At 42.3% G+C, this 25,831-nt stretch overlaps 1 protein-coding gene and 1 long non-coding RNA gene across 5 annotated transcripts in view; both read right to left on the bottom strand.

The window, feature by feature from the left end:
* LOC107984137 (uncharacterized) overlaps positions 1–21,713 on the bottom strand; it is a 71,517-nt gene extending 49,804 nt beyond the window's left edge. Inside the window, exons 1-2 of the long non-coding RNA XR_001752087.2 lie at positions 21,555–21,713; positions 9,510–9,612 (exon numbers count right to left, since the gene is read on the bottom strand). This is a non-coding gene — a long non-coding RNA (uncharacterized LOC107984137). The remainder of the gene's footprint in view (positions 1–9,509; positions 9,613–21,554) is intronic.
* SHISA9 (shisa family member 9) overlaps positions 1–25,831 on the bottom strand; it is a 661,420-nt gene that overhangs the window by 295,073 nt on the left and 340,516 nt on the right. The gene's annotated exons all lie outside the window — the stretch shown is intronic.

The raw sequence follows: 25,831 nt of genomic DNA, 5'->3' as shown, positions 1-25,831 counted from the left end.
CCTATTCGTCACAGAAATGTCTATTCCAATAGAATAGTGCCAGGTGCTGAGCCAAAAAAAAAAAAAAAACCTGAGAAACAAGAAAAGAACCCCCTCTCAGGCAATGTACAAATACCTGGCCAAATTCTCACAACCACCCTGCAGGATCCTATTAGTTCAATTTTACAGAAATGTAAGCACTATTCCCTGGGACACAGAGAAGATGGAGCAGAGAATAGATTCAGGTTGGTCTGACCCACTACTAGTTGCTTATAATAATCCAGCAACTGGACTGTATCATTTACCTAACCTTTCCTCCTCATGTTAAACATTTAGATTACATCCTCCTTTTCAACATTATAAATAACACCACCACAGAGTTTTTAATACAGAACACTTTGGCTGCATTTACGATTGCTGTCTTGGAGGTAGAATTGTTGAATTAAGAAGCACGGATCTTTTTAAGGCTGTTGATATACATTGCCAAGTTGCTTTCCAAAAGGGCTGTACAAACTCACACTACCTCCAGCAGTGCATGACAGTATCAATTTCACCACACCCCCATCAGTTTGGGTAGTCTCATTTTTTGGAAATGTTATACATTTGCCAGCTGAAAATAGTATTGCCATTTTAATTTGCATTTCTTTGATTACTATTAAGGTTGAATATGTTCCCATATGTTTTTAAAGCCATTTTGATTCCTCCTTGTGATTTTTATTTTCCTATCTAATTTAGCTTTCAGGATCTTAGTGATTTTTGTAATAATTCTATAGGCTCTTGATGTTAAAATTAGCAAGTCTTGGTTTGTCATCTTAGAATATGGTCCCACTTGGCTTCTTTTTAAACATTTTTAAAGTTAAAGACATTTTTAAAAATACAATCAACTACATCCATCTTTTATTTTGTGATTTTATCCACCCAAAGTCCTCTTTTTCAGCAACTTGATAAATCTTCAATTTTATTTTGTCCTGGTGATTATTTTTATTTACAATTTTAAGCCGTTGGCTTTATCTAGAAGGCATAGGTTTTCTTTTTTCAGTGTTGAATCTGATGCAAGAATCAACATGAATTTTTGCCAAATTTGTCCCAGCAGTGGGTACTAAATAATCCCTGCCTTCCCCACCGCTTGTTGTCATCATATATGAAGGTCTTATTCCTAAGAGTAACTGTTTTTCATCCTTCCCTCCTTGATGTGCAAGGGCCTCTGCAGATGTCCTTTTTTCTCTCTGTTCCACCCACCACTACCTACTCAATTTCTCCTCCAGCAGGGTCCCCAGAGCTATCCTTGGACTTCCAGCAAGAGTTTTCCATCTTAAAAGTTGTGTGTTTTTTTCTTCTTCGTTTACAATGCCAGCCTATATTCTGGGGGGCCTGAGCCTCCCTGAGCAATTCCAAATGGGAAACACAACAACAGCCAGTACCTGTGGGAATGCTGCTTGCATGCTTGAACCAACATTGCCCTCATCAAAGCTAGCTCCCTCTAGCCTGGACAATCCTCATGGTGGGAACAAACAGCCTGCAGTCATTCCAGAGAAGCACTCCAGGCTCTTAGAGACAGAGAGCCTTCATCTTAGTCCTAGACTGGGGAAAGCATTTATTCCCATATAAGAAAACTAAATTCCTATCTTTCCAAAGAGGGAAATCAATAAATAATATCTAGGAAAGGGTAATAAAGAAATAATAATGCATGCATATTTAGAAATACAGCATAAAGCTAACTTTCTGGAAGAAACAGCTAACCATTAAAATCCCTTGCCTTTGGGAATGTGCCCAAAAGAAGAGATGCGGGGACATTGGCAAAGGAGACTCCTGCTTTCCTTTATAAAGCTGATTTATGCTTTTAACTATGTGCATGCAATTGCTTTGATATTTAAAAACATATTTTAAGAATCACCCACTGAACATGAAAATGCAAAAACAAGATATGCATCCACTTTATATCTGTTGTCTGATGAGCAAAATTCAATCTTTCTTTCCTAATCTTATATCTTAATAACAGAAATTCTCAGTGTCCAACCCTACAGATAAAGATGAATTTGAGTTTAGGAAATTGATTTCAGTGTAAATTGATACCCAGAACACTTGGGATGTTGGCACATTATTCTTTTAAAAACAAAATGCTCCAGAGATTCTTGTTTTTTTTTTCCAGTTATCTTTTGCCTCTTTTCCTTGTAAGAGATGGTTTCTGTCTCCCATACAAAACTCTCCACTTTTAGAAAGAAGGAAAAGTGTCTCATTGGTTTCATTATCCTCAGCATATATCACATGGTTTGATGATTGTATGCACTGCACTCGATGAATATTTGTTGAATGAATGAGAGGAGAGGAGAGAAGAGAAGAGGAGAGAAAAGGAGAGAAAGGAAGGGAAGGAGAGGGGAGGGAAGAGGAGGGGGTGAAGGTAGGGGAGTGGAGGGAAGGGCGGGGAAGGGAAGGGAGAGGAAAAGAAGGGAAGGGAAGAGGAGGGGAAGGGAATGAAGGAAAGGGAAAGGAAGGGAAGGAAAGAGAAGGGAAGGGAGAGAAAGAGAAGGGAAGGGAAGAGGAGGGGAGGGGGGAGGAGAGAAAGAGGAGAGGAGAGGAAGGGAGGGAAGGAAGGGAAGGGGATGGAAGTGGAGGGGAAGGAGATGAAAGGGGAGGGGAAAGAGATGGAAGAGGAGGGCAGAGGGGAGGGAAGGAAAGAAGAAGAAAGGAAAGGGGAATGGAAGGCAAGGGAAGGGGAAGAAAGGGAAGGGAGGGGAGGGAAAAGAAGGGAACAGAAGTGGAGGGAAAGGGAGGGGAGGGAGTGGGAAGAGGAGGGGAGGGAAGGGAACAGGAAGAAAGGGAAGGGGAAGGGAAGGGGAGGGGAACAGGAAGGGAGGGGAGGGGAAGGGAGGAGAGGGGAAAAGAAGGGAGGGATGAGGAGGGGAAGGGGGTGGAAGGGAGGGATGGGGAGGAGAGGGGAGCAGAGGGACAGGAAGAGGAGAGGAGGGAAGGGAAGAGGAGGAAAAGAGGAGGGGAAAAACAGGGGAAGGGAAGAGAAGACGAGAAAAGGAGGAGCGAGGGAGGGGAGGAGAAAGGCGAGGGGAAAGGGAGGAGACTGGAAAGGGAGAAGAAGAGAAAGGAGAGGGAATTATTACTTTCTTGACATTATTTATTGATTTCTCTCTTTGGGAAGACAAAGATTTAATTCTCTTATATTGGGGTGAATTCTTTCCCCAAGATGAGGGTTCTGTGCTCAGTGCTGTTTTGTTTTTTCACTCTACTTTTATTATTACTCCTAAACCAGAGCTCACTACTAACTTAAACCTAAGATATTAGAAAGAAAATCTAAAAATCAACTCAAGACTAGAAGCAAGAGAGACATTCTGTTTAGAATAATGAAGAATAGGAGAACTACTAGCAAGAAGTTAACCTTTGAAGCGCAAAATGTTTAACTGTACACCGGATGCTTCATCCTGAGGTCAGACAACCAAAAGAAACTCCGCCCCTGGTTTCCTCCACTCTCAAGATTTAAAACAGGCCAGCACGGTGGCTCAAGCCTGTAATCCTAGCACTTTGGGAAGCCGAGGGGGGCGAATCACTTGAGGTCAGGAGTTCGAGACCAGACTGGCCAACATGGTGAAATGCTGTCTCTACTAAAAATACAAAAATTTTAGGCATGGTGGCGTCCACCTGTAATCCCAGCTATTTGGGAGGCTGAGGCACAAAAAACACTGTAACCTGGAAGGTGGAGGTTGCAGAGAGCCAAGATCATGCCACTGAACTCCAACCTGGACAAAAGAGCAAGACTCAGTCTCAGGAAAAAAAAAAAAAAAAAAAGATTTAAAACAATGTCTCCCTCCCTAACTCCCCTATTGAGTTGTAGAAGCAGACACAGGTGATGACAGCCACCCATAAAGCAAGACATACTATGTTGGGGAAGGAGGTATGAGCCCAGAGTTGCTTAAGTAGTCATATCAGTGTTTACATAACCTTGCGGATAAAATTCCACTTTAATAAATAAAGGAAAGATCTGACTCTCCTTTTTGAAAAAGAAACAGGTATATAAGGAAGATTTTTTTTTTCTATTTTACATATCTGGTTGCCTCACAAGATTTTGAAAGACATTTTATTTTGAATTATTTATAGAATCACAAGAAGTTTCTAAAATAGTACAGACAGGTCTCATGTACCTATCATTCAGCTTCTCCCAAAGGTGGCATCTTACATAACTATACTACACAATAAAACCCAGGAAATTGGTATTGGCAGAATCCCACACAAGATTTTATACACAGTCATGTAGGAATTATATGTCCCTGACTGTATTAGTCTGTTCTTGGGTTGCTATAAAGAAATGCCAGAGACTGGATAATTTATAAGAAAATAAGTTTAATTGGCTCACAATTCTGCAGGCTGTACAGGAAGCATAGTGTTGGTCATCTGTTCAGCTTCTGGGGAGGTCTCAAGAAGCTTACAATCATGGCAGAAGGCAAAGAGGTAGCAGGGATGTCTTACATGGCCAATGCAAGAGGAATTTGGGGAGAGGTGCTATATACTTTTCAATCACCAGATCTTGTGAGTACTCACTCACCATCACAAGAACAGCACCAAGGGAATGGTGCTAAACCATTCATGAGAACTCCGCCCCGTGATCCAGTCTCCTCCCACCAGGCCCCACCTCCAACATGGGATTACAATTGAACATGAGATTTGGGTGGGGACACAGACCCAAACCATATCACTGACAATAGAGTTATTGGGAGGTATCCACAAATCCCATGACCACGGACTCATCAAGTTAAAAGTCCTTGCCGAATTCCCACCCCAGGGGAAACAGAGATGAGAAATGTCCATGAGAAATGTAGTGTAGTTGGGATGGTCTGAGTGAGGTGGAGTGAAGGCTCTGGGAATGGGGTTTAAGACATGAGACAAATTATAAATCCACAGGAATGAATAGTTACGTTGCAAGAAAATTTAAGGCAAGTAAACAGAGGCTTCTTATTGTCTAGATTGAGATGGGGAATAAAAAAGAGACCCTCATGTCTATGTATGAAGTGGGAATGCAAGGCATAGGTGCCCTGGGGAGAGTGATTTAGAAGGAAGAGAGTAGATAGTTAATGCTCTCCCTGTAACTTAAACCTGAATGAGCAAAAATTAGCTTTATATCTCTCAACTGGGTAAGCACAGTGAATGTAGCTCACCCCAAAAACCATACTTCATGCTGGAGTGTTCCATTACACAAGGGAGTAGCTAACATCTGTTTTCTTCCTTCCCTCCCTCCCTGCCTCTTCCTTCTTTCCTTCCTTCCTTCCTTCCTTCCTTCCTTCCTCCCTCCCTTCCTTCCTTCCTTCCTTCCTTCCTTCCTTCCTTCCTTCCACAATAACAATTTTTTTGAGAACTTACTCACCGGGCCAGAATATGGAAGTTCTCTATTGATCCTTCTATGGGTCAAGTTGAAAAAGTAAATAAAGTAGAGTTTCTGTCTTAAAAGATCCTCCAGGCTATTGGGCAAAGCAGCAGGTCAACAAGTGTGATACAACCTGATAAGCCTTCTGATATAGACAGAGTGCAGCGAAAGCTAAAAGGCTACTAGTGCAATTGAGGAAGGAGGGAACTGAGAAATGAGACTAGAAGCTTATAAGAGAGCTGTGGATGCCAGGATCTAGAATTTAGAGTGTTAAGGATGTTGCATGAAAGCTAAGACAGCCTAGCTGCACTGCACAGGTGCTCAGCTGCCTCTCATCAGTTTCTGGCTGGTATCAATCCCATTCTTTTCAGAAACTGAGCATATCAGGACTGGTTTTGTATGTTTTATTTTGTTTTCTTTGGAGGATTGACAACCTGTTGTTTTGCCAAATTGTTTGGGGGCATTTGAGGATAGTGGAGATGTTGGTTTCCTCTCAGTCTGAACCTCAAAGAGAACTGCTGGGTCTTATCTCAATTTTCTGAGTCTGACTGATTTAATTAATGTCTATGTTATCTATCTATTACTTTTGAAGCTGTTGTCATATTATTGATATGAAGGCTGCACAGTGACACACCTGCAGGATACACCTGCCAGCAGAATCTTGCCTACTGATATCCTCAGCCACAGAACTTAAGGCAAGAGATGTTTCGACTCCTGAGGATACTCATATCTAATTCTGGCTACAGATGGGTTTGAGTCTCATTAACTCCTATCTCAGTTTTCTTTGTCACAGTCCTCTTGGGCTCATGAAACCATGATCACCAGCCCATATCCATTTCAGGTCACAGAAAGTGTTTATGATGATGTACCCTCAGCACATGGCATTTGGTAGACAAGTGCCACCATTAATCTACCAGCTTCTTCCTACCTGAAGTTATAAAATTTTGTAAACAGTGGGTCTGGATTATAAGAAAGGGTAAAGTGAATTTAATCGCACTGCAAGGATTTGGATGCCCCAAATTTTATTCCTAGTCAACTTCAGAATAAATTCTGGTGTTTCATCAGCTTGGAAAGAGCTGGTGGGGGTGCTGTGGAATTAGGAAGAACCTCAGTTTGCATTGGACCCTGATACTTACCAGCTTTGTGGCCTTGCTCAAGACACTTAATGTCAGTGTCTGGCACAAAATGTGAGTGCTGTCAACATCATCATCAACAGCATCAAAATCATGATATCCATCATCACCATCACCACCACTACAACCACCACCGCTATCAGGATCATTATCATTATCATCTATAAACCTACAGATCTTGACTGGACGGACTAGAGTCTTCTCCCATGGACTCCTAAAATACCCTAAATTCCCAATCACAGAGTATGTCATATTTCACATCTAGAGTCCTCATGGGCATAGGCAAGATGGTCTTGTTTACCATTTGATACGGTTTGTGTCCCCGCCCAAATCTCAACTTGAATTGCATCTCCCAGAATTCCCAAGTGTTGTGGGAGGGACCCAGGCAGAGGTAATTGAATCATGGGGGCGAGTTCTTCCCTTGCTATTCTTGTGATAGTGAATAAGTTTCACGAGATCTGATGGGTTTATCAGGAGCTTCTGCTTTTGCTTCTTCCTCATTTTTTCTCTTGCTGCCACCATGTAAGAAGTGCCTTTCGCCTCCTGCCATGATTCTGAGGCCTCCCCAGCCATGTGGGACTGTAAGTCCAATTAAACCTTTTTTTGTTCCCAGTTTCAGGTATGTCCTTATCAGCAGCATGAAAATGAAGTAATACAGTAAATTGGTACCAGTAAAGGGGGGCGCTGCTGAAAAGATACCCAAAAATGTGGAAGCGACTTTGGAACGGAGTAACAGGCAGAAGTTGGAACAGTTTGGAGGGCTCAGAAGAAGACAGGAAAATGTGGGAGAGTTTGGAACTTCCTAGAGACTCATTGAATGGCTTTGCCCAGAATACTGACATCAATATGGACAATAAGGTCCAGGCTGAGGTGGTCTCAGATGGAGATGATGAACTTCTTGGGAACTGGAGTAAAGGTGACATTTGTTATGTTTTAGCAAAGACTGGTGACATTTTGCCCCTGCACTAGAGACTTGTGGAATTTTGAACTTGAAAAAGATAATTTTGGGTATCTCAGGGAAGAAATTTCTAAGCAGCAAAGCATTCAAGAGATGACTTGGGTACTGTTAAAGGCATTCAGCTTTATAAGGGAAGCAGAGCTTAAAAGTTTGGAAAATTTGCAGCCTGACTATGCAATAGAAAAGAAAAACCCGGCCAGGCGCGGTGGCTCATGCCTGTAATCCCAGCACTTTGGGAAGCCAAGGCAGGCAGATCACAAGGTCAGGAGATCAAGACCATCCTGGCCAACACGGTGAAACCCCATCTCTACTAAAAATACAAAAAATCAGCTGGGCATGGTGGTGGGTGCCTGTAGTCTAAGCTACTCGGCAGGCTGAGGCAGGAGAATGGCATGAACCCAGGAGGTGGAGCTTGCAGTGAGCCGAGATCACGCCACTGCACTCCAGCCTGGGTGACAGAGCAAGACCCTGTCTCAAAAAAAAAAAAAAAAAAAAAAAAAAAGAAAGAAAGAAAAGAAAAATCCATTTTCTGGGGAGAAATGCAAGCTGGCTGTAGAAATTTGCATAAGTAGCATGGAGACTAATGTTAATTCCCAAGACCATGGGGAAAATGTCTCCAGCCATGTCAGAGACCTTCATGGCAGCTTCTTCTATCACAGGCCCAGAGGCCTGGGAGGAAATAATGGTTTCATGGGCTGGGCCCAGGGTGCCCATGCTGTGTGCAGCCTAGGGACTTGATTCCCTGTGTCCCAGCCTTTCCAGCCATGGCTGAATGGGGCCAACATACGGCTTGGACCGTGGCTTCAGAGGGTGGAAGCCTCAAGCCTTGGCAGCTTCTATGTGGTACTGAGCATGTGGATACACAGAAGTCAAAAACTGAGGTTTGGGAACCTTGGCCTAGATTTCAGAAGATGTGTGGAAACTCTTGGATGCATAGGTAAAAGTTTGCTGCAGGGGCAGGGCCCTCATGGAGAACCTCTGCTAGGGCAGTGCAGGAGGAAAATGTGAGGTTGGAGCCCCCACACAGAGTCCCTACTTGGGGGCTGCCTAGTGGAGCTGTGAGAAAAGGGCCACCATCTTCCAGTGTACAGAATAGTAGATCCACTGACACCTTGCACTATGTGCCTCAAAAAGCCACAGACACTCAACATCAGCCTGTGAAAGCAGCCAGGAGGGAGGCAGGACCCTGCAGAGCCACAGGGGCAAAGCTGCCCAAGACCATGGGAACCTACCTCTTGCATCAGCATGAACTGGATGTGAGACCTGGAGTCAAAGGAGATCGTTTTAGAGCTTTAAAATTTGACTGCCCCACTGGATTTCGAACTTGCATGGGCCCTGTAACCCCTTTGTTTTGGCCAATTTCTCCCATTTGGAATGGCTGTATTTACCAAATACCTGTACCCCCATTGTATCTAGGAAGTAACTAGCTTGCTTTCGATTTTACAGGCTCATAGGCAGAAGGGACTTGCCTTGTCTCAGATGACTTTGGACTGTGGACTTTTAGGTTAATGCTGAAATGAATTAAGACGTTGGGGAACTGTTGGGAAGGCATGATTGGTTTTGAAATGTGAAGACATGAGATTGGGAGGGGCCAGGGGTGGAATGATATGGTTTGGCTGTGTCCCCACCCAAATCTTAACTTGAATCGTATCTCCTAGAATTCCCATGTATTGTGGGAAGGACCCAGAGGGAGGTAATTGAATCATGGGAGCCAGTTTTTCCCATGCTATTCTCTTTCTAGTGAATAAGTCTCATGAAATCTGATGGGTTTATCAGGGGCTTCTGCTTTTGCTTCTTCCTCATTTTTTCTCTTGCTACCACCATGTAAGAAGTGGCTTTTGCCTCCCACCATGATTCTGAGGCCTCGCCTCCAGCCTCAGAATCTGTAAATCAAACTAAGCCTCTTTTTGTTCCCAGTTTCGGGTATGACTTTATCAGCAGCATGAAAAGTAATTAATACACCATTGCATCCCTATTTCCTAGGAATGTGCTGGGGGCCTTGTAATTATTCAACATATTGTGAAATGAATTAATGACTAAGTAGAAGAGAAGAGAACCAACTCTTACTGTTCACCTGTTATATGCCATATCCTTCACCAACTTATTTCTAGTCTTCAAAGAAACCTTGAAGTGTTTCCATTTTCATTACTATTTTTTTGGCTGGAGTAATGAAGACCCTGAAAAGTTAAGTTAAAGGACACACAGTTAACAAATGGCTGTGACCATACCCAAACATAGATCTGTCTAAGAATTTTTTATACCAGTATGACTCCCTAATGAACCAGAAAATTTATTTATTCAGAATCTGCTTTACTCTGACTATTCAAGGTAATCAAACCTTTACTGTGTCCAAATGGAGTTGTAGGGGAGGGAAACTAAGATTAGAGAGTAGATGGCAGATGGCTAAATGGTGTCAAGAATACAATTACACGGCCTTACAGATGCTAAGATTTTCTAGCTAAATTTCAGCCACTTGAAATTAAGAAAATGCACAATTATTGTCCACTTGCTAAACTATCCATCCACACAGGGCATACTGAGAAGTCTGGTCATGATGTTTTTATTTAGCGAAGGATGCTTGCAAAATCTCAGCATTCTTTACAAAGAACATGGAAAGCACAGGTTTATGTCACCAAAAAAAATAAAGTATTTAAATTGGGTTTTCCTCCAAAAAGCACATAATGAGCAGATTTCAGATTTCATCAGCTTCTAAGTAGCACAGAAGGGAGCCTAAAATATTAAGAAGAGAGGGAGCTTTCACACTCTAAAAGTCATGTTAAGGGCTTTTACATAAATGTATGATCCCTGGTGGACACTCATATAGCCATGGCAACACCTGCAAAGACATGTGGAGTATTTCTTAGAACCACGGTATTTAAACTGGCAGAAGTGGACACCTGGAGGAAATATCTGCCAACATTCCCGTACTTTACAAAAGGGGGTGATCAAAATAAGATGATGTTATTGAAAAGGTAAAGCCTCACATAGGCCAAGAGAGCTGATGATGGTGGTGATGATGATGATGGTGTATGAATGAGCGTAGACAGTATACCCGATATTGTCCCAGTCCCCACCCTTGAATGTTAGCTACTTAATGCCTTATGGGCTTGTTATTGTTAGACCAATCTTAGTGATCAGAAAGGAGAGTCCCAGAGGTTAAATAACTTGTCACGTAATGAATAAGAAGTAAGCCAGGCACAACTTGATCAGCTTAATTGCATTCAATTACCCTACGCAGCATCTCCAAGTCACTCTCCAGGGTTCTAATGAAGTATCTCATTTAGTAGCAACAGTGCTAGAAAGAAAAGCTTGTCCTGGGATGGTTCCTTACCAATGGCCAAACTCTTTGGCTGAGAAAGAATGTAAGGGAAAAAAGGCAGAAAACACAAATTCTACTCTCATCTCTGCTCCTACAAAACTTCGTAAATGGGCAGAGAGTCTCTGGATGGTCGTTTGTACCCTGACATAATTTCTAAAGTTGGAGTTCTTAACACTGGGTTCAAGGGCACCAGAGGTTGGCATAGATGAACATCAGAGAGCCTATAAGTTCCCTGCAAGTATATCAAACATATTGTGTGTATGTGTATGTTTCTGGGGGAAGGTTCACTGATTTCAACAGCTGCTTAAAGGGGTCTAAGACATTCCTCACCAAAGGAACGTTTTCAGTCCCTAGAACTTTCAAATCATAAACTATTCTTGTCCTCAATAACCCTTATTATAAATACTCAAAAGGCAACACCGTGTAGTAAAAGAAATATTCATTCATTTCCTCACTCATTCATTTGTTCACTCATTCAAGTGTGAGTTATCAATTGCCTGACTTTACACTCAGTTCTAGGCAATGGGAATTCAGAGACAAACTAATCTTTAAAGAGCCCCCAGTCTAGTAGGGAGAAAGACACCTCAGCACCTGATTATCAAACAATATACGGCCAGGTGCAGTGGCTCACGCCTGTAATCCCAGCACTTTAGTAGGCCGAGGTGGGCGGATCACCTGAGGTTGGGAGTTCGAGACCAGCCTGACCAACACGGAAAACAACATCTCTACTAAAAATACAAAATTAGTGGGGCATGGTGGCCCGTGCCTGTAATCCCAGCTACTTGAGAGGCGGAGGCAGGAGAATCACTTGAACCTGGGAGGCAGAGGTTGCGGTGAGCCGAGGTGGCACCATTGCACTCCAGCCTGGGCAACAACAGTGAAACTCCATCTCAAAATAAATAAATAAATACATACACATATACAATATGCTGTAATTTCAATAATGGATATTTACAGGCCATGAGAAGAAGCACCTAATCGAGGCTGGGAAGGCAGGAAAGAATCTGATCTGCGTCTTAAAGGATTATTAGGATTAAGCAGATGTAGGAGAAAAGTTATTCTGGCAGAGGAAACAGGCAGGCCAGGTGGTAGAAACAGCATGGTGAATGTATGGGGGAACTTCCAATAGCCTAACTGTCCTAGAACATAAAAAGGTCAAAAATAGTAAAATATGAGTCTGGTGAGGTTGCAGGACAGGTGAGGAAGGTTGTTATATGACACCTCTTTATTCTACAGGGAAGAAATGTTAAGGATTTAAGCATAAATTTAAGTATTCTGGCTGCAGTATGGAGAGTGAGCTGAGAAAAATTTGTTCTATTAATCTGGGCATGAAATGATGCAAACTTGAGGAAAGATAGTGATCATCTCTCTTCCCCATAGACTGGAGTCATGTCTTCTTAAGTCTTTTCTTTCACTTCTCCCTAGACCTACCACATATAGCAGGTGCTCATATAATAATATGTTGAATGAATAAATTAGTAGTAAGGATTGGGAGGTAGAATTAATGTTCAAGAAATATTTAGAGCATGAAATTTGCAGGGACTGGAAATAGATTTAGATGTGGAAGGTAAGGAAGAAGGAAATTGAGGCAGCTCCTAACATCACAAGCTTTGGAATCAGCCAGATCTGGATTTCACTTCTGCCTTCTGAACTTGAATGGTACTTTTTTTAGACAACAGAAGTAGGAGTGAAAGATGGCAGTGATGGTTTAATGTGAACTGACCTAAAGATAGAATGAATCCTTTGTATGTATATGAAAGAGAAAGACACACACATAAAGAGACACAGAGTCCCAAAGATAGAGGGCAAGAGAGAAGAGACATAAGGTCAAACAGAGAGAATGTGTTTCAGAGAAAGGCAGATCTCAGAGGATGAGAAATGCATGAAACAAAAAGGAAGAAAGATGCCTAGACAGAAAGAGAATGAGAGAGGGAGAGAGAGAGACAGAAAGGGGAAGAATTGAGGGAGAGGAAGAGGAACAGAGAGGAAAAGGAGCATGAAGGAGAAAGATATAGTCAAAGTAGAACCATAGCAAGAGAGAGAAGAGGAAGTGTGAGAAAGCAGTGAGAGGTTAGGGGACGTAACAGGCATCAGTGATGTCCTCCACCTGCTAAAGCCAGGTATCCAAGTCTGCAGTGTTATTAGATAGAGGAGCAAAGAAGAAAAAGAGGATGATATAGAAAGAAGGAAAAAAAATTAAAGAAGCTCCTCCTGGGAGGTGAGGGGAACAGATACTTTCCTGCTGCTCAAACAGCTCAAGTTCAGGTTCAGGCCTGATCCTCTGCTACTTGGTATTAATCTACTGATCCATTACAAGACCACGTCGCCTCTGGGCAACACCTGCTCAACAAGGCTCCTGGCACTTAACAAGCCCGGAAGGGACTGTTTCTTCATTTGTTGAAGTCCAGTGCTTTCACTTTGCCCCAAGGTGTCCGCTGAGGATTCACTGGGAAGCCCCAAAGACAGGAGCATTTTGATGTTGCTTCTGAAGAATTTGCCACCTGAAAGACTCTATTTGGTTCTGGGGGAGGTGATTAGTGGGGCCAAGAGGCCCCTTTCTGGAAAGAACGTCATGGTAATTGCTGACAGCCCGCTGTACGATGGATGGAAAAGTCCAGAAATAACAAGAATAATGAATAAGCAATCAGTCTATTCTCAAGTCTGCTATTATTGCCTTTCTAATTGGGTGTCTCAGAGTCTCCTGGGATTCCCTAAACTCTGTTCCCAGAGAGACCTAGCAACCAAGGCTGGTGACATAATAACTCGTAACAAACCCTCCGGTTGGAACTGATGGTCATGCTGGAAGCAGTGACAAGTGGTCCTGTTGTCTTATCTTCTCTCTCCCCTAAATCTGTGAAGGCTGGACATGGAAAGTTTTGGACCAGATGATAGACTTGAGTCTGAATCCCAGTTCTGCCAATTTCTAGCTGCTTGGCTTTGGGCAAATCACTTCATCTAAAATTAGGGTTAATAGTTCCCACCTCATATGATTTGTGTGAAGACAACTGCTAATGTATGCAAATTGCCTGGCACATAGTAGACTTTCAATAAATGGTAATTATTAGTATTATTATTATAGAGGGCATCTTTGGCAAGGATAGAAAAGATTGGCAGCCTGACAAAGATGAAGCCAGAGCTCCATTTTGAAAACTACCACTGAAGTGTGCAGTAGCCCTAATTAGAATTTTTGTTAAGTTCTGATAATGAGAAATGTTTGAGAAGACATTTTTCAGTCTCCCTGAAGAAAACAGGAAGTGGAAGGATTTTTAAAAAGTGAAAAAAAAAGTAACCTTCAGTAATGTCTTATTTTTCTCTTCCTAATCTTGGTGAATGTTAAAATAAATTGGATGAAATGTGTCACCTTTTGACCTTATGGGGACGTTTCATAATACTCCTGTCCATGGATAATTAATGCCCAAGTGGATATATTTCTGATATGGTTTGGCTGTGTCCCCACCCAAATCTCATCTTGAATTTTAGCTCCCATAATTCTCATGTGTTGTGGGAGGGATCTTGTGGGAGATAATTGAATCATGGGGTGGTTTCCTCCATACTGTTTTTGCCATAGTGAATAAGTCTCACGAGATCTGATGGTTTTATAAATGGGAGTTCCCCTGCACAAGCTCTCTTGCCTGCCACAATGCAAGATTCGACTTTGCTTCTTTTTTACCTTCTACCATGATTGTGAGGCCTCCCCAGCCACGTGGAACTGTAAGTCCATTAAACCTCTTCTTATATAAATTACCCAGCCTTCGGTATGTCTTTATTAGCAGTGGAGAACAGACTAACACACACTGCCATCTCCCTTGTACCTTTGGACAGGTGTTCCCATAAGCACTGATGACGTTGACATGATAGTAGAAGAGATGCACCTCAAACCTCAGCCTCACGATACAGTTGACTCTTGAACAACTCCTACCCCCACACAGTCAAAAATCTGCATATAACTTTCGACTATTCCAAAATTTAACTAGTAGTAGCCTATTATTGACCAGAAATCCTACTAATAATAAAACAGTCAAGTAACACACATTTTGCATGTTATATGTATTACATACTGTATTCTTATAATAAAGTAAGCTAGAGAAAATAAAATGTTATTATTAAGAAAATCACGAGGAAGGGAAAATATATTTCCTATTTATTAAGTGGAAGTGGATCATCATGAAGGTCTTCATCCTCATCGTCTTCATTTTGAGGAGGCTAAAGAAGAGGAGTGAGAAGAGGAGTTGGTCTTGCTATTTCAGGGGTGGTACAGGCAGAAGAAAATGCAAGTATAAATGGACCTACACAGTTCAAACCCATGTTGTTCAAGGGTCAACTGTATTTCCTTTCATTCATTCATTAATTCATTCAACAAATATTTATTGAATGCCTATGTTCCAGGTACCGTGGTAGGTGGAGGGCATATGGGAGCACTCAAAGATTTCTACCCCCATGGAGCTTCCATCCCAGTGAGAAGAGACAGACAATAAGAGTAAACATAAGTAGATCAATTATATAATATGGTAGAAATGGCTGAATGCAATAAGAAAATAATAGAGAAGGTTAAGACAGGCCAGGAGACATGAGCAGCGCAAGCTTCAGTATCAACAGGGCATCAGGCCTCACTGAGAAGGTGAAATATAATCAAAGACCCAACAGATGTGGGGTGAGCCAGGGGAGGAAGACTGCAGCATGAAGAAGGGTCCTGGGGGTTTCTCACCCTCAGCACTTCTGACATTTGGGAACAGAGAATTTTCTGTCTTTGAAGCAGGAGAGCTGTCCTGTGCCTTGTAGGATATTTAGCAGCATCCTTGGCCTCTATGCACTACATGCCAGTAGCAACCTATCTCCCAAGTTATGACAACCAAAAATGTGTCCAGTTATTGCCAAATGTCCCCTGGAGGAGGGATACGACATTGTCCCAGTTGATGGACAAAGCGCTCAAGGTGAGCACATTCTTGGGGCATTTGAGGAACAGCAAGGAGGCCAGTGGGGGCTGGAGCAGAGTGAGTGAAGGGGTGAGTAGTACAACAGGAAGGCAGAGAGGCATTTGGAGGCCAGATCATGGAAGGTCTTTTGGGCTTGTTTTAAGGACTTTGATTTAAGGATTTTGACTTTACATGGAGTGAAAAGGAGGGAACTGAAGAAAGAACGTTGTGATCTGTCTTAAGGGAACTTGCTGTGTACTATGCATTGTTGCAGAATTCTTTACCTACATGGTACCTGGCCCTAGGGCACAAGGCTGGGATTTGAACTCAGTTCTCGCTGGTCAAGTAGGAAGTGGACAGGTTACATTTCCTGTTACCTGCCCTCACTCTGCTACTAAGTAAATAGTCAATTGTTGGATGACCATCCTAGACCTGGAATTACTACTGGAGATCCAGGCTGGTTCATCAACAGAGCCCTCTTTGTGTCAGCCTGGTTTGCCCCCTAAACCAGAACTTGAGCAAGGTACTGTGTGCAGGTATTTATTTTGGAAAGTATCCTAAAGAAAAGGAGGAGGGGCTTGGAAGAATGAAACAGGAAGGATGAAAAGCCAACCTCAAGGTACTTTATGGACCTGGTAACCACCATATGGGCAAGTGGGTTCCAACCCACTAGGACCCTCTGAGGAGCTGGAAGAAATCACTTAGAATTGTCTACCTAAGAGATGGAGAGGGGAACATGCACCACTAATCTCCAATACCCCTCTCCCCGCAACCATTAGTCAAAGTTTGGGCCGTGGTGTGTTAACCCTCTCACACTTCCAGGTTTGCACATGCTGAGGACACAAGGCACTGAGTCAGAAAGCAAGAGCTTTAAAGCACACCTAGGCCAGGTGCTAACTGGGTACACCTGCATAGCTGGTTGTCATGGCAATGACTGGAGTAAAAAAAGTTAGTCAAAAGCAGGTGAAGCGGGGATCAAGAAATATCAAATACAGGAGTTGGGGTGAGGGGCTGAAGTGTCCCCTGGAATATTATCTGCCAGCAGTCTCTTTTCCTCTGAGTATGGAGAGGAGGAAGCTTGGGGATGCTGCATCTCCACACACAAAGGCCGCCATCTTTGATTCTTGTGGAGCCTCTCAGAGCTTTTCCATCTGCTGTTTTATCTGTTCCTCACAGAAATCCTGCAGGAAGACGGGGTGGGGGTGAAGAACCCTATCGTGCAGGTGAAGAAACGTGTTCAAAACCTTACACTACTAGGTAAGGGTCACATAGAGTATTGGTAGCAGCACTAAGCTCAGGTTTCTAGAATTGATTCTCAACAGTAGTCCACTAACTACTTGCATCAGAATCCCCAAAGTGTTTCTTAAAATGCAAATTCCTGAGCCCACAGAGCATCTGAATCATGGTGGTCAAGTCTGAGAAGTACCACATTATACAAGCCATTAGGGTTTGCCTCACCATCTGCAGCAGCTGCCATGGACTTCACAGTAAAATGGCTGAATGGGTTCCAGCCAACAGAGTCTGCTTCCAGGGCCCCAAATATAGATCTTTCTCAAACCCAAAGCTAATCATCCCCAGAATCCTGGAATACAGAAAATAAGTGTATTGTTGTTATATATATAAGCACCTGGTGGGTGCCATTCCCAGAGTAAGACACAATGGGGTTGGGGTGATAAGAAATTTATGAAGGCAGAGTTCCTGACCAAGAGCGTCAGAGGAGTCCTAAAAAAATCACTGAATGCAACCTCTATATCATATGGATAAGGGAATCAATGTCCAAGATAATACAGCTAGTTTCAGAGCTAGAATTAAAATGAAGAATTTCTGGCTCCTATCCTAATGCTCTTAGGAGTCTACCCATGTGCCAAATAGCAGGGAAAATCACCTCTGACCCTCTCCCCCCAATGCAATTAATCATAAATTCTATTTGCCACTCCTCAGGACTGCCCACTCAGGACTGCTAATTGTACCTCCTGCCCCCACTCCTCCACCCCTAAGCTTTAAGTAAAGCTGTAGATGGTTTTCTCCTATCTCCAAGTCTCCTTCTGTCACACCTGAGGGTCTGGGTCCAGTTGAATTCCCCAGAACTTTATGTGCTTTGCAATTTGCAGAAGAAGCTTTGGAAAACAGCAGCAGGAGCCAGGGACTTGAAAGGGTAGCAGATTAGATATCCTCCAGTTAATATAAAGACTAGGTATGGAAGTGGTGAGGGTCAGAGAATGCAAGATAGAAATGCAGAGATGTGGCCAGGTGTGGTGGCACACACCTGCAGTCCCAGCTACTCAGCAGACCGAGGCGGAAGCATTGCTTGAGCCTAGGAGTTCAAGACCAGTCTGGGCAACATAGCAAAACCCTGGCTCTACAAAAAAATTTAAAAATTTAGCTGGGCAGGGTGGTGTGTGCCTGTAGTCCCAGTTTCTTGGAGGCTAAGGCTGGGGGATCGCTTGAGTCTCACAGGTTGAGGCTGCTGTGAGCCCACATGCCACTGCACTCTAGCTTGGGTGACAGAGTGAGACCTTGTTTCTAAGAAGTAAAATAATAATAAAAGAAAGGTGGAGATCAAGTGAAGGAGAAGGAAGAGGGGAGGAAAAAGAAGAGAAGATGCAACTGAGTAAAAAACAGACACAGAGAAGGAAACAGAGAAAGAGAGAAAAAATGTATAAGGAAGAAAACAGAGTCTGTAATTTATGTGTCTGCCTCCCCCATTAGATGCCAAGGTCTTGGAAGGCAGGACCTGTGCCTGATTCATCTCAGTGTACCAATGCTTATCCCTGTTTCACATATAGCAGATGCTCAGCATATCTTTGTCAAATAAGTCAGGGAATATAAAGTCATCTCAACCTACAACAAATCTACAGAAAGCGCATTATTATTCCTATTTTAAACGTAAGAAAATCTAGGTCAAGGAGGCTAAATTGATTGCCCAAAATGACATGGGCTATAAAAAGTTAGGCTGAGATTTTATCTTCAACGAGGCTGACCCCAAAGCCATTCTTCATATTTTTGGCAGGTAAATTCTCCAAACGTCCTGCTTTTATGAACCAAGGAAAACTCATCTTCCTTACTGGGACCAGCTGGACCAGGACTAATGTCTCTGAGAAGTCAGAAAAGTGAAGTATAACCAACATGGTGCTTCACCTAGATGTCCTCACATCCTTTTTCTTGTTTCCATGCACCTCTTTTCCAGATTCTGTAGTATTTGTTTCCAACCACCAGCACCTGAGACTCTTGGAGAAATTTTCCCTCAACATGCAATGAGCCAGAGTAGCTAGAAGTTTCCATCTCTTTGGTGAATGACTCGACTCATAGGCACATAAGAATGAAAGCCCTGCTCCCTTGCTTGGGGTTGATGCCAATTCTAGAGTAATGCACATAAGGTCTACCCTCTCTGTGGCGTTGCCTAAAAGTAGATCCTTGTTTTGGTCCTTCTTCTACGTAACTTCTGCCATCCCCTTACCAGTTTCTTCCAAAATTCCTTCCTTGCATATGAATTCCTATCTCAGGATCGCTTTCTGGGGACCCCAACAAAAACAAAATGGAAAAACCAAGGTACCACATTAGCCTGGTTCCTAATGGGTGGGAGTCGATAAGTAAATGCTTCCGATTAATAAAAGCCCAAGTTTGTTGAACATCCACCATGAGTAAGTGGTTTACATATCTTACCTCAACTGCTCAAACAACACGACAAGGTTGGTATGACTGGGCTTGCTCTACAGATGAGAAAAACTAGGCTCTGAAAATCTCAGTAGCTTCCCCAAGGTCACATAACTAGAAGTTATAGAGAAGACTCAAATCCAAGGTTATCTGACACCAAGGTTTCTCTCTGCATGCAGTGCCTCTCTTTATTTCTTTATGGTGCTTGCTTTCTATTGTTCATCTTCTACCTTCTTAATTTTTATTTTTTGGAGAAGGGGGAAGGAGAAGGGAGACAGTAAAGGGATTCTTGCACCCTCAAGGCCCGGCACCATGGCTGGCACATCGTAGATGCTCTGTATTTGTTGAATGAATTACAAAATGAGGTTTTTTGAGCAGAACCAAGCACTCAGCAGTGTTCTCTAAATTTTGTCCAAAAGTCTAATGTTGACTCCACGTGAAAAAGAATCAAACCCCCATGAGGAAAATTCTCATGGCAACTAATAAGACCCAAGAGAAAGGCTTTAAGACCCGCATGGTGCTGACTTTTGGCATCCTGGATCTGGGAATTCAACAGACACCTAACTTGTAGAATTCCAGTACATTCAGCTCAACTGCCTTTGATACATGGACAGCAAAATTCAAAAACAAATTACAGCATCAAAAACAGCTTCAAATTACCAGAAAATAAGGCACCCGCACATTGTAAATTGCCTCTTTAGAGTCTTCCCATTTTTTACCTTTTAAGATGAAAACAATGAAGTGTTCTATTTGGATGTTGAGATTTTTAAAAATGAGTTGCCCTTTTATAATGTTTTAAAAAGAGGCATCATAAGATGTGAATCTAACTGAAACCTCTGAACTTGCAAAAAGGAAAAATTCAAGAGGATGTGACAAAATTATTTCTAGCAACCATGACATTTCTTGATGGGAAATGCTTTCTTTGAACTGTACAACACAGCACGAGTTAGGATTTGGAATCTGACAAGAAAATAAGTGAGATGCCAAGCTGACAGTGAAGACATTTTTCTTCCACAAAGGTATTTTTATTTATTTATTTATTTATTTAACCACAGTAACTGGATCCAGATAGTACCAGGAACTTTGAGAGGGTTAAGTGGGGTGCTAGAAATTGTGGAACCAGAAAACTCCAGGTTTAGATTCTCGCTCCAGCACTTGCTCTGTGACCTTGAGTAAGACATTTAACCTCTCAGTTCCCTTATCTTTAAAATGGAGTTATGAACCCTTTCAAGGTTACTGAGAGGATTAAAGATCAGGTATGTAAAGGTCCTAGCATAGAGTAGAAGTTTAATTAAGATGATTGATATGGTTTCACTCTGTGTCCCCACCCAAATTTAATCTCTCATTGTAATCCCTTCATGGAAGGAAACTGGTGGGAGGTGACTAGATCATGGGGGCAGTTCCCCCATGCTGTTCTCATGATAGTGAGTGAGTTCTCAAGAGATCTGATGGTTTACAAGTGTGGCATTTCCTCTTTGCTCACTCTCTGTCTCCTGCCACCATGTGAAGAAGGTCCTTGCTTCCCCTTCCCCTTCCGCCATGATTGTTAGTTTCCTGAGGCCTCCCAGCCACGTGGAACTGTGAGTCACTTAATAACAAATTATTATTTTTATTATATTATTATATTTAAAATATAAATACTATATATTTACTATATATCTTTCATAACAAATTATCCAGTCTAGGGTAGTTCTTTATAGCAGTGTGAAAACAGAGTGCTACAATGATGATAATGATGATGATGGCAACGGATAACATTTATTGTTTTTTTTTAAATAGTCAGATACAGTTCTAAGTGCTTTATCTTTTGTATTTGTTAAGGAAATTCTAGCTACTCTAACAGATAAACCCTGAAATCTCAGTGCTTAACACACTGATAATAATAGAAGATTATTCCTAACTCACATAACGTCCAGTTGGTGGTGGAAATGGTGGTAAAGGAAGTTACTGCTTCACAAAACCATTTAGAGACTCATGCTGACTGAGGCTCAGAGCCCCAGCAAGAAGAGAAGAATGAAGCTTTTACAGTGCCTAACCCAGTGCCTGATACACAAAAAATGTTCAATAATTGGTAATCAAAGAAGTTGTTGCTATTAGCATTACGATGATTATTATCTTTCAAGGCTGAGACTGAATGTATGAGAAAGACTGTTTTAGTCTGATCTCACGCTGCTGATAAAGATATACCTGAGACTAGGAAATTTATAAAGAAAAACAGGTTTAATGGACTTACAGTTCCACGTGGCTCGGGAGGCCTCATAATCATGGCAGAAGGTGAAAGGCACATCTTACATGGGGAAGCATGGAGAAGAATTGGAGCCAAGCAAAAGGGGTTTCCTCTTATAAAACCATCAGATCTTGTGAGACTTATTCACTTCCATGAAAACAGTATGGGGAAAACCACCCCCATGATTCAATTACCTCCCCCCAGGTCCCTCCCACAACACGTGGGAATTACGGGAGCTACAATTCAAGATAAGATTTGGGTGGGGAAGCAGCCAAGCCATATCAGACTTATTTTGGTTTTATGTGGTGAATATATTCCTAACAGGATGGATTTTTTTTAAATAAAAAACTAGAATCTGACAATTTCTGGGACAGTGAGGTTTGTAATTGGGATCTTGCAAGTACTGGGCTGGAGAGAGCTTGTGTTGAAGGGAGGACATTGGTATTAACTGTCTCCAGTTAATTAATAAAGGGCTATTTATTTAAGCCCTTAAATAAACAGGCGCCAGACAAGAGCTTCCTGAACCTTGGACATTTGTCTTTCTCCTCTGGGAGGGGTGAAGAAATGGGGACATCCATGGTGATCTACTCCAAAGTCGGTCTAGCCTCATTCCAGGGAGAAGTGAGGACATTTAATACTATCAGTTTTAAAAAATGACACAGCACACACGATAGGCCAGAGCTTAAGGTTGAATCAGAGAGAACCAGGTTTCAATCAGCTCTGCCACTGACTTCCTGGGTTACTTTGTGCAATTTTTACCTCTTTGAGCCTGTTTCTTCTTCTATGAGTGGCGAAAAATAAAACACAATTTTGTGAGGTTATAGGAATCATCTGAAAGAATAATTCTCATAACAAAAGCTAATGCTGAAATGTTTACTAGGTGTTAAGCATTAAGCTACTGTCTTTTTATCTATTATTTTATCTCTCATAACAGCCAATGATAGAGATACTATTGTTATCCCTATTTTAAAAAAATAGAAGCATGAAGAGAATAGGTAAGTAGCTCTAAGTCTCACTAGTACACAGTGCTTCACCTGGGACCCACACACCTGCAGAGGGATTTGTGGGTAGAATTCAGTGGGTTTATGAAAGTAGGTGGGAGAAAATATATCATGTCTTTACTTTCACTGGCCTCTAGTTGAAATTTAGCATGTCCCTCAATTATAAATGTGGGCAATAAGGCAGGGTGCAGAGGCTCATGCCTGTAATCCCAGCACTTTGGGAGGCTGAGGTGGGCAGATTGCTTGAGCCCAGGAGTTCAAAACCAACCTGTACAACATGGTGAATGCCCATCTCTACAAAAAATACAGAAAATTAGCTGGGCATGGTGGCACGTACCTGTAGTCCCAGCTACTCGGGAGGCTGAGGTGGGAGGACTGCTAGAGCCCCAGAGGTCAAAGATGCAGTGAGCTGTGATTGCTCCACTGCACTCCAGCCTGGGCAACAGAGTGAGATCCTGTCTCAAAAGTAAGTAAATAAATGTAGGCAAAGAACCACCTATAGTATTAGCACCGACCTGGGACTTTGTCAACAGTAGAATCACAGATATTGTCGTATCACATCGCAAATGTAGCAGATAGCTCAAAGAATTGTTTGTGCTCATCAATACTTTGAAACCTCATGTTATTTATTGCATTAGTTGAAAAGCACATATACAGCTGACCCTAGAACAATGCAGGCGTTAGAGGTCGACAAACCCCATGTAGTCGGAAACCTCATACAGCTTTTGACTCCCTCAGTACTAAACTACTAATAGTCCACTTTGACCAGAAGCCTTACTGATAAAATAAACAATTGATTAACACATATTTAGTATGCTATGTGTATTTTATGTATGTATGTATACAAATATATAACACTGTGTGCTTATGATAAAGTAAGCTAGAAAAAAGAAAATCTTATTTAAAAAATCACAAGGAAGAGAAAACATATTTACTATTTATTAAGTGGAAGTGGATCATCATAGAGGTCTTCATCCTTGTCATCTTCACTTTGAGTAGGCTGAGGAAGGTGAGGGCTTGGTCTTGCTGTCTCAGGGGTGGCAGAGGTGGAAGAAAATTCACACATAAGTGGACCCCTGCAGTTCAAAGCAGTGTTGTTCAAGGGCCAACTGTATTACCATATCACAAATGTGAGTTTCTAAAAATATTTTCATGAGTATACATCGAGATAATGGGTTTTTTTTGTAATTCTATGTATTTTATTTTATGCATTTAAAGTCATTATTCTGAAAAGGGAATCCATAGGCATTCACCAGATAATTGAAAGGATCCATGGCCTAAGAACATTAAGAATATTCATAGTAGCCCATGGCTGTTAGAGAATCAGAAAGCCATGGTGGCTCAGGCCTGTAATCCCAGCACTTTGGGAGGCCAAAGCGGGTGGATCACAAGGTCAGGAAATCGAGGCCATCCTGGCCAACATGGTGAAACCCCATCTCTACTAAAAGACAAAAAATTAGCCAGGTGTGGTGGTGCGTGCCTGTAGTCCCAGCTACTAGGGAGGCTGAGGCAGGAGAATCACATGAACCTGGGAGGCAGAGGTTGCAGTGAACTAAGATTGCGCCACTGCACTGCAGCCTGGTGACAGAGCAAGACTCCATCTCAAAAAAAAAAAAAAAAAAAAAACGCTGCTGTAAACCAAAAATAAAATTCTAAGGCCCCTGAAACACTGGTTCAGGCCATGAAGGGAGAAGTGGGGGTCGGACATGCCTCATTATACCTGTCCAACATTAACATCAACACAGGCTTTAAGTCTGATAAGAAACATTTTAGAGCCTGTTCTCTCTGAAGCCTGCTAGGTAAAAGCTTCATCTTCATGATAAAACTTTGGACTCCACTACCTCTTGCATCAACCCAAACATTCCTTTCTATTGATCCCAGGTCTTTAGACAAACTCAACCAATTGTCAACCAGAAAATGTTTAAATTTACCTATAGCCTGGAAGCCCCCCCACTTTGAGTTGTCCTGCCTTTCTGGACCAAACCAATATATTTCTTAAATGTACTTGATTGATGTCTCATGTCTCCCTAAAATGTATAAAACCAAGGTACACCCCAACCACCCTGGGCACATGTCATCAGGACTTCCTGAGGCTGTGTCACAGACACATGTCCTCGACCTTAGCAAAATAAACTTTCTTTCTTTTTTTTTTTTTGAGACAGAGTCTCGCACTGTCACCCAGGGTTGGAGTGCAGTGGCGCGATCTCGGCTCACTGCAAACTCTGCCTCCCAGGTTCACACCATTCTCCCTGCCTCAGCCTGCTGAGTAGCTGGGACTACAGGAGCATGCCACCACACCAGGCTAATTTTTGTATTTTCAGTAGAGATGGGGTTTCACCATGTTGGCCAGGCTGGTCTCGAACTCCTGACCTCGTGATCTGCCCTTCTCGGCCTCCCAAAGTGCTGGGATTACAGGCATGAGCCACCGTGCCTGGCCGGCAAAATAATATTTCTAAATTAACAGACTTGTCTCAGATTTTCTGGGTCTACACCGAGTACCTGGCAAGTGCTCAATCCTCAGAATTTGTTACTATAATGTTATTAATATACACACTAAAATCCCAGTCATCCAGGAGCAAACCTTTGAAAGTGGTAAGAGACTCAATTCCATTGATTATACCCATTTCGTGGTGATCAGGAAGAAGAATACTCAGTCCAGTCAGAGAGCAGGGTTGAAGATTATCAACTGCAACCTCCTCCTTCTGAAGGAAAATGAAGACATGGAGTTGCAGGAAAGGATAGTTTCAAGGCACGTGGCAAATTGGCATTGGAATCAATAAATACCACCAGCCAAGTCTCCTGGAGTCAGTCTTCTCTTCATTATAGGACACAACTTTTCAATATCAGACATGAAGCCGGATGATGAGAGTTCCTGTCTCTAGAAGCACACAGGTCCACTCCAATTTCTTCTGCATCTCATAGTCCTTGGGATGATCCCACAGATGTTGGATGATGATGTAATGTGGCACTGTGCAAGGCTTCTCATCATAGGGTCCAGGGGCCACTCTAGTGCAATGACAGGGAGCTTGTTACAAACATTGGACCCTGGGCCCCATCTCCTCGGATCTACCTTATCTGAAGCTCTTTGAGGGAGCTTGGGAATCAGCATTTTTATCAAGCTGCCCCACTGATTCACATGCGAATCCAGGTGAGAACTATTGACAGAGCCATTAAAGCATGAGCTCTGGAGTTCAAATCCCAGTTCTACCACTTACTAGTTGAATTGCTTTAGGAGCATTACTCAAATTTTAGACAAATCTCTGAACAGCATCTCCAAAGCAT

This window comes from Homo sapiens, chromosome 16, assembly GCF_000001405.40.
Source record: "Homo sapiens chromosome 16, GRCh38.p14 Primary Assembly".
Taxonomy (NCBI): domain Eukaryota; kingdom Metazoa; phylum Chordata; class Mammalia; order Primates; family Hominidae; genus Homo; species Homo sapiens.
Note: the sequence above shows the minus strand (reverse complement) of the source record. Positions and strands in the feature narration are given on the sequence as shown.